Source organism: Homo sapiens, chromosome 21, assembly GCF_000001405.40.
Source record: "Homo sapiens chromosome 21, GRCh38.p14 Primary Assembly".
Lineage (NCBI taxonomy): Eukaryota > Metazoa > Chordata > Mammalia > Primates > Hominidae > Homo > Homo sapiens.
In genome coordinates this window covers 30,626,708-30,635,832 of record NC_000021.9, presented here as the reverse complement: position 1 = coordinate 30,635,832, position 9,125 = coordinate 30,626,708, and the positions used below count along the sequence as shown (strand labels likewise).

Genomic DNA, 9,125 nt, shown 5'->3' with positions numbered 1-9,125 from the left:
TGCCAATACACCAAAATGCAAACACACACATGCACAATAAACATAATTAAAATGCAACAAATAAATATACTTTCAATGAGATGTTTATTAAAAGAAATTTTACATCTTCTCACATAAGTTGATCAAAAATCAACAATTTAATGACAGTACAATATCAAAACAAAGCTTTTTAAAAATCTGTGAAACATGTCAAATGATTTCAGTTACTCTAGATGAGGCTTGCAGCATCTGACCTATTTTTTCTTCCAGATACTTAAGGATGATGTTGACATTTTACAACAGAAAAATGAATTACTCATATGAAGAATTATGAAGGCAAATTTAGGAAGTCCATGTGGAAGAGACCACGAGGTTGAGTTGCCAGATATTTCTCAGTAGAAGCCACAGGACCAGTATCTTCCATAGCAAGATGGGCGGCAGCAGCCATATCCATAGCCACCATAGCCACGGCCATAGCCACAGCCCAGGCCTCCATAGCCATGGCCATAACCACAGCCACAGCCATAGCCACCGCCCAGGACTCCATAGCCATAACGCAGACCACCATAGTAGTTGCTGTAGTAGCACATGGTTTCAAGAGTGGAGGATTTGGTTGAGGAGCAAGGAATCAGTTTCTTCAGTTTGAATATCCCTATATGCCCAGGCAGTCCTTTTATATACACCCTCAGTGGTGGGTGGGACCCACCACAGGACCTGTTGATTGCATATTTTCTATTAATTTGTATTAGTATACTTCCTGAATATTTGTTTTATTAAACAATGTGAAGCCTTTATAAACAAGATGACTTTGCTATTGTGTCAGCCTTCTCATGATCAAATGCCTTTAATGTGTTTTTCTTATTCTTATTTTAAAGCCCTTACTCATACTTTGTTTAGCTTAAAATATTTGACAACTTTGTGTCTAATTTAATCATTGAATGGGTTGTAAAAGGTTGATGTTTAAAATTCTGTGATTACTTGTGCATACATTATGTGAGAATCTTCTACAAAGAAAAATAACTTTAACAATAGAGTTTATTTAGCATACTCAGCTAAGTTTTTTTCTTGTTCATTATTTGCTTTAATAAGTAAATTTCATTCAGACATAAAAGTAAATAGAATTGTATTTTGAAGCTTTATAAACACATCCCTGGAATTTAATAATCATCAATATTCTGTCTTCAGTTCCTTCTCTCCCTGTACATTTTTTGTAGTTAGTTAGTTAGTTCTGCTGAACATTTTAAAACAAATCCCAGGCAAGACAACATTTTTCTTATAAGTACTTCAGTGAATATCTCTATCACAACAGAAGTCTAAAAAAATATGTATAGAGAGAGCCCCAATACCGTTATCACACCAATGACATTACAAAATTATTTGGCATCCCCTAATAGTTAATTCGTGATCAGTTTTCCTTGATTGCTTCCCAAATATATTTTCATAGTCTTTTTTTTACATTAAGACACGCATTCATTACATTTAGGCATGTCTTTAACTCTTTTTAGAGATGTGATGGTTCTTTTTTTTCCTTTTTAATGTATTTTATTGTTTCGAGGAAACTTTGTTATTGTCCTATAGAATTCTTACATTTTAGACGTGGCTGATTTCTTTCTTGTTTTCCCTTTTCATATCTTCCTCTATCCCTCATACCATCTACAGGTAGATGACAAAGGTTGATGTGATTCTGGTTATTTTTACTATTTGTTGACAAGAGTGATATTTTATAGTTGCTCTGTGTACATTTTATTACATAATATTAGGATGTAAATGGTGTCTGGGTGGCCCATTGCTTCACATTTAGTAAGGCTGGGATTGTGGATTGGGTTCATTTTACAATCTCCCCCATAAACTTTTTAGCTACAGTTTTTTATATTCAGTAATAGTTACCTAGACCCATTATTGCCAGAAGTTCAAAATGCTGATTTTACAATTCTATCATTACTTCTACCTGTAGAAGATAGAAACCTATAAAGAGAAAAAAAATTCTCATCTATGAGTTTATTCAGGAGAGGAAAATAGTTGATTTTTTCATTTATCAATTTCCAGAATGAGTATATAATTTAGCAGTTGCGAAAATAATATGCTTAAACATTCTTATGCACTCATAGACTTTTTTTGTTGTTGCTTTTTTAGACGGAGTCTCTGTCTTGCCCAGGCTGGAGTGCATGGAGTGCAGTGATGCGATCTGGGCTCACTGCAACCTCCACCTCCCACGTTCAAGCGATCCTCGTGCCTCAGCCTCCTGAGTAGCTGGGATTACAGATGTGCACCACCACACCCAGCTAATTTTTTAATTTTTGTAGAGACGGGGTTTCACCATGTTGGCTAGGCTGGTCGTGAACTCCTGACTTAAGGTGATCTGCCTGCCTTGGCCTCCCAAAGTGCTGGGGTTACAGGCATGAGCCACCACTCCCAGCCTCATAGATGTTTTAATAACATCACCCTAAATATTTAAGTGCACAATGCACTATTGTAAACTGTAGTCACTACATCGTATCTAAGAAATCATTGCCCAGTCCAATATCAACAATCTTCTATGTTTTCTTCTAATAGTTTTACAGTTTGAGGCTTTATATTTAAGTCTTTAATTTATGTCAGGTTGAGTTTTTTGTTGGATGTTTGATAAGGGTCCAATTTCATTCTTTTGCATGTGAATATCCAGTTACCCCAGCATCATTTGTTGAAGAAACTACACTTTCTCTAGTGTGTATAATAATTATCTTTGCCAGGATCAAATAACTGCATATATATGGGTTTATTTCTGGGCTCTCCATACTGCTCCATTGGTCATTGGTCGATATGTCTGTCTTTATGACAATAGCATAGTGTTTTAATTAATTGACGTGTATCCATCAATTATAGTTATTTCTCTTTTTGATGTCAAGTTGTCCTATCATGGGCTGGTAGAAACCTTTTTAATTTGGTTTAAGTATTTTTTGACAAGACTTTAGTAGTATCTTCGGTAAATTATTTAATTCTTATATGAGAAGATCTTCCAGACTCATCTTTTATCTTTCCTGCCCTTGATTAGGAAGAGGTCTTTTATTTTTCTTTAAAGAAACACTGATATTTGGAGAAGACTCTCTGGACACTAGTGATGTTCACTGTTGCTACATTGTGATTGCTTATATGCTGTTTCAATGGAGAGAGCCAAAAAACCCTCTGTTTTTTTTTTTTTTAAAAAAGATTAAAAGTAATGAGTTCAAACTAAAAATTTCAATTCAAATTAAAAATTATAGAGCATTGATTTAAGCTTTTCAATTTTTGAAATGGATGAACTTTTTTTAAAGCTTCTATTTATATCAAGTTTGCTAACCTCCCATTGATCAAAACAAGTCACATATATCACTGAGTCCATAGTAGAGGAATAAATTAGCTGTCCCACCTAAGTTGGGAGGACTGAGAATGGGGCCATCAATTTAACAGTGTATGTATGTGCAACATCACTGTGGTGTAAATATTTATTAACATTATAAATTATGTAATATACCAATATAATATATAATTTATTAATAATATATATTGATGGCAAAGTGGATACTTATGGAAACTAGGCCTCTTTGAACATACTATCACAACTTCACTGTGTAAGTATAATATATCTTATGCAGAATTATTTCCTTTGTATTTAGACAATAGATGACATCATAAATGATTATGTGCAAGGAAATAAACTTGAAATTCAGGGGTCTCACTGAAGGGTTCTGTGTTCTTCCATGCCCAGAGATAATTGTTAATGAGAAATTGCAGCAACCATGGCCTGAAATGGCTAGGGAAACAGGATCTCACCATCCAGGAGGAAGGTGTGGGCTACATAGCAGCAAAGAAACATTACAACTGCAGTGCTTGTTGAGAGTGAGAAATATCTAAAATGGTGAGAAGGTGTCCCTCACTGCTCACAGAATCACGTTTGATAAATTATCCTTGCATTAATCCTCAATCTAACAGGAAAAATAAACCCAAATACTATTTTGCCAGTACTCACTGTTTTCTGTCTGTTTGAATTCCCTTCCAAAAGATCTGAAACCTCTCTCTTCTTGCTCCTGCCATGATTAATTTGTGTACTTTCTGTACTCAGAATTTTTCCTTATGAGTCTCCATCTTTTCATTGTGTTTTTTTTTTTTTTTTGAGACGGAGTCTCACTCTGTCGCCCAGGCTGGAGTGCAGTGGTGTGATCTCGTCTCACTGCAACCTCTGCCTCCCTGGTTCAAGCAATTCTCCTGCCTCCACCTCCCATTCATTGTGTCTTTTTAAGAGCCAGAGAGCCTTGGCTCCCATAGTTCCTTCAGAACTCCCTTCATCTCCTCGCACTAGCCTATGACCTGTTTTGGCTGGTATTCTCAGATCTGCTCCTTGGGTCCTCCACTTGAGGTGGTATATGTGTGGAATGACTTTCTACCCCTACCTTGACTGGAATCGAGGACCCACCTTTGGCCTCACCGTTGTTCTACCAGTTCTGAAGAAAGGTGTTTCCCACATGGTCTTGATCCAAGGCAAAGGAGCCAAAAGTGCCATGGGATGGGTCTTAGTCCTACTCGGCAGTCACCTGCCTGTGGGAGTCAGAAGTACCTTACGAAGACAGAAAAAATATCCCACTCATGTAAACTCTAGGCTGTATTAGGCAACTATAATGCATGGTGTATTTCAGATGAATAAATTTAACATTTGAGATGTTCTTTACTAGCACCATCCAAATGCAGGTGTTGGAAGCAAGGGATATTCATGGAGAAAGTGATTAATACAATGGTGTATATGGAGAAAGAGAACAGAGTGATAGTTTGATAGTTACCATAGGCTGGGAAGGATAGTGGGAGGCGGTGGGGAGGATAAACAAGGGGTTGGTTAATGGGTACAAAAATGTAGTTAGATAGAAGGAATAATGTGTAGTATTTGATAGCACAGTAGGGTGATCACAGGAAACAGCAACTTATTGTATACTTCAAAGTAATGAGAAGAGTGAAATTGAAATATTACTAACATAAATTAAAATGTTTAATATAAGAGATACCCCAATTACCCTGATGTGATCATTACACATTGTATGCTTGAATCAAAATAACACATGTATCCCATAAACAGGTACAACTATTATCTATCTGTAAAAAATACAAATTTTATAAATCCTAGTGGGATCATATTTAGGCAGCTTAGCACCATTCCATACTCTCTCAGGAACTTGATTGCTCAGAACAAGAATTGTGTTTACTCTCAGTCAATGAGAGTAGCTTTAAGAAGTTTGAAAGATAAAAGAGACCAAAACTATATCATTGCTGTGGCCAAAGCAGATGATATTCATGGCTTTTCATGGATGTAAGGTTTTGCAGCATCCTCTGAACATTTCCTTATGAATCACTAGCCTTGGAAAGAGAGAAGTCCACCTATTGAAAATTATGCTTTCTGGCCGCACGCAGTGGCTCACACCTGTAATTCCAACACTTTGGGAGGCTGAGGCTGGCAGATCACCTGAAGTCAGGAGCTTGACACCAGCCTAGCCAACATTGTGAAATCCCGTCTCTACTAAAAATACAAAAAAATTAGCCAGACATGGTGGCATGTACCTGTAATCCCAGTTACTCGGGAGGCTGAGGGAGGAGAATTGCTTGAGCCCAGGAGGGGGAGGTGGCAATGAGCCGATATCACGCCACTGCATTCCAACCTGGGTGACAGAACGAGACTCCATCTCAAAAGGAAAAAAAAAATTGTGCTTTCCTCTGGTTCCTGCAATTTCTTGATTTGAGGCCTAGCAAAGAATGCATGAGATAATAGGGGTCTTCTCTCATCTTTGCTTCTCCTACACTTCCAATGACGATGAAGTATTATTTTCTGCTTGCAATATGTAGAATTCATTTAGTTTTTCTGATTAAACTGTTGTTTATTGCAGTAATGTATATATATATCATATTTTTCAACATAGGTATGTTTATAAGTAATGTGTAAATAAACAAATGCTTTTTTATTTAGAGTTAGTTATACAAAGTTTGTTCTATCTAATGATTTTTAAATCAAAGTAGACATCAAAATAAATTTGTTATTTTTTGTTTTCTCCTTATTCTTAGTCATAGGAGGTTTCTCAGAGCACATTATTTTACCATGCTGATGAACCATATGTCTCTCAAGCTTCCCTGCCCACCCAACAAATTATATAAAGAGATTAATGATATTCTGTGGTGTTGTAAGTTGCTTACTAAAATAATGTAAATTCTTCATTCTTTCTTGTATCTAGGCACCTTGCAATATGATTTTGCAGCTTCTCCTAACAAGGACTGCAGCCCATTTCCACTGCTTGAATCCTTGCTTGTCTTGAGATTTGTTTTGGCCAATAAAATACATTGGAAGTGCCAGCTTCTAGAATAGACCTCAGGAGATATTAAGCTTTTCTACTCACTATTTTGGAATCCTTCCACAGCTTTCACAAGAACAACTCTTGCTAAACCTCCTAGAGAATAACAGACCACATGATAGGAAACAGACACCTAAGCCTCCAGCCAGGAAAACCTCAAACATATGAGAGATCCTCCTATCTTAGAGCACTGGCTACTTAATCTGTGGCCAACAAGAGAGATATGAATGGAGTCATCCATGAACAGAAAACTTCCCAGCTCACGAGTAGACTCATGACAAGCAATAGAGTTGACATAAGTTTATTGTTTTTGCTGATATTCAGCAAGTCGTGATAATCTTCTTTGAGCTTGACTTTCTCCATCTCTTCCCTGCTACATCAACTCCCCCACCTTTTTTTTCCTTGAGAGTATCCTCATTTTTACATGATTAATTATTTACTACTAAAAGGCAAAAGATATCACTTGGCTTCATGAGACTATCAACAGAAAGCCAATACTTAAAATTTGATGCTACCAGATTCACTGGAGTTTTCCTTCCAATATTTGTAGTGTTCCTTTTTCTGACTACTTTTAAAACATCAAATATTTTCTTGATGGTTTCAAATTTATCTTCTGAAACTATAACCAGAAAATGGAAATGATGATATTTCGTTTTATTTACAAAATTCCATTTTCATGAAAGCTACTGAAGCAATTATTTAAAGGCAAATCGTACAGAAACATGTGAGCAATTGGATGAAAAACCACTTATTAAAAGTAATTTGTTTTATTTTGTTAGACAGTCCTAAGTGTGCAATCCAATTTTTTCATCAGAAACATCAGAGGGTTTGGTATAAAGTATTTGTTTTCCATGTATTCATGGCCCTAGTAATATAGGGTGAAGGATGATGGCGTACAAACTCCTCCTCACTTTCCACTTCTAGTGAATTTGTCTTCCTCTCTGAGCTTACCCTGGGAAAGATTTGAATAGTACCATTTGGACAGAATAAAATAATTCGGGCATTGGGGCTCTGGAGCGAGATAAATGTGTGAACATCTTAATAGTCATGTTTTTGCACGTGTTTTTAATTTTAAAAGTATGGAAATCATATAAAACCTTAACAAAAGTTTATAAACTTTATCCATTAATTAATTTGTTTTTCATTCATTTATATAAAAAAAAAATAACTACAATCCTTACTGTTGCCGGGGGCTGTCCTCGGTACTGAACCATGTGAATTCTGTCAATGGTATTGTGCCCTGACTAGTGTTTAATTTCTCTCTTATAAGATAGCCTAGGATATTTGTAGAAGGCCATTTGAGAAAATTGCTTTATCCCAGAAGGAAAGATAGATTAAAATGCTTTATAAGCTGAGAAAAAGGGGCATGAATTCTAAAACTTTATGGCAAATCACAAATGTCCTTAATACCATAAGCTATTTTAAGAAATTAATATAAATTTGCAATTTTGAAACAGTTGCCTGGACACACATATTGCTTTTAAAGAATAATGTCTGCAACATGAGACGTATTGATATTTCAAAGTTGCTGTAACTCTATCAATCATTTGAGCGAAAGCTTATAATTTCAAATAAAGGTCAAAATAATATGTAATGTTAGATCAAAAGGAATCCTAAAGGGAATGATGTAGAAATAATATAACTCTGACATTTTTTCTTTAAACAGAGTCTGAAGGAAAGTTGTATTCAATATAAAAGTAAGTTTGTTTGTATATCTTTAAAACAGAAATTGGAAACACAAAACTCAAAACCACTGTTCCCAGAAAGCAGTGATCTAATTTTGTATGGTTAATGTGCTGATATGGTAAGAGGGTGATACTTTCCAGAGATTCTCAAAGACAAAAATGATGTTCAGACCCACTTTGTGTGTGACGATTAGATATGGGATGTGACTTAAATATATCTGCTAGGAAATAGAAGGGGATCATTTAGAATAATGTGAAATGAAAATTCCAAACACAACCACAGTCCAAAATATTCAAATGTAGCGTACAAGAAAGCAGCCAAAGACCAATGTACCTAGAATATGGTGATTAGAAATAGGGGTGCTGTTGTGGGGTTTTATTCATTAGGTAAAAACTTAGCATATAGGCTAATATTTTATGATCAGATATGCAAGGCTGCAGTAATTGCAGGTTCATCAAAAGCAAGTTTCATTTAGAAATAACTAATTTTAAGCCTTTGAACTTTTAGTTTCACAGCATGTAAGCAATATTTTTGTCACAATAATACTCTGTCACACACACATGTGCATGCAACAGGTCTAACAAAGTAATGTTAAATAAGTAATATTGTAAATATAGGATTTTTTTTGAAAACTGACACAAAATTTTTTTTCGCATGAAGGATGTTGAACTAAAATGTATGTGGAGCAATAATCGTAATACGGTATGAAGAGAAAACATTTCTTTTATAAAGTAAGTTATTCCAGATGATTATATTCAATTTAAATGATGGATGTAGAATTTAAACTACTATCTCTTCCCAAAGTAGCCTAAGATGAGATAATCAGTATTTTAAAAAGAGAAGAACACAGAATATGGAGTCGGGTAACATAGGGAAAGGAGTCCTGGGGTTTCTCTAGAAGTTTCTTAGTAGAATCCATAGCCTGGCTGGGCACAGTGGCTCATGCCAGCACTTTGGGAGGCCGAGGCAGGCAGATCACGAGGTCAGAAGTTCAAGACTAGCCTGGCCAACATGGTGAAACCCCGTCTCTACTAAAAATATAAAAAATTAGCTGGGCATGGCCCAGCTACTCGGGAGGCTAAGTCAGGAGAACTGCTTGAACTGGGACCTGGGAGGTGG

The 9,125-nt window shown here is 35.9% G+C and overlaps 1 protein-coding gene across 1 annotated transcript; it reads right to left on the bottom strand.

Annotated features, from left to right (window-relative positions):
* Window positions 1-213: 213 nt before the first annotated feature.
* On the bottom strand, window positions 214-627 carry KRTAP20-2 (keratin associated protein 20-2). Its single transcript, NM_181616.3, has one exon. The coding sequence runs from the start codon at window positions 567-569 to the stop codon at window positions 372-374; it is 198 nt and encodes a 65-aa protein (NP_853647.1). The 5' UTR covers window positions 570-627; the 3' UTR covers window positions 214-371.
* Between the last annotated feature and the right edge of the window lie 8,498 nt (window positions 628-9,125).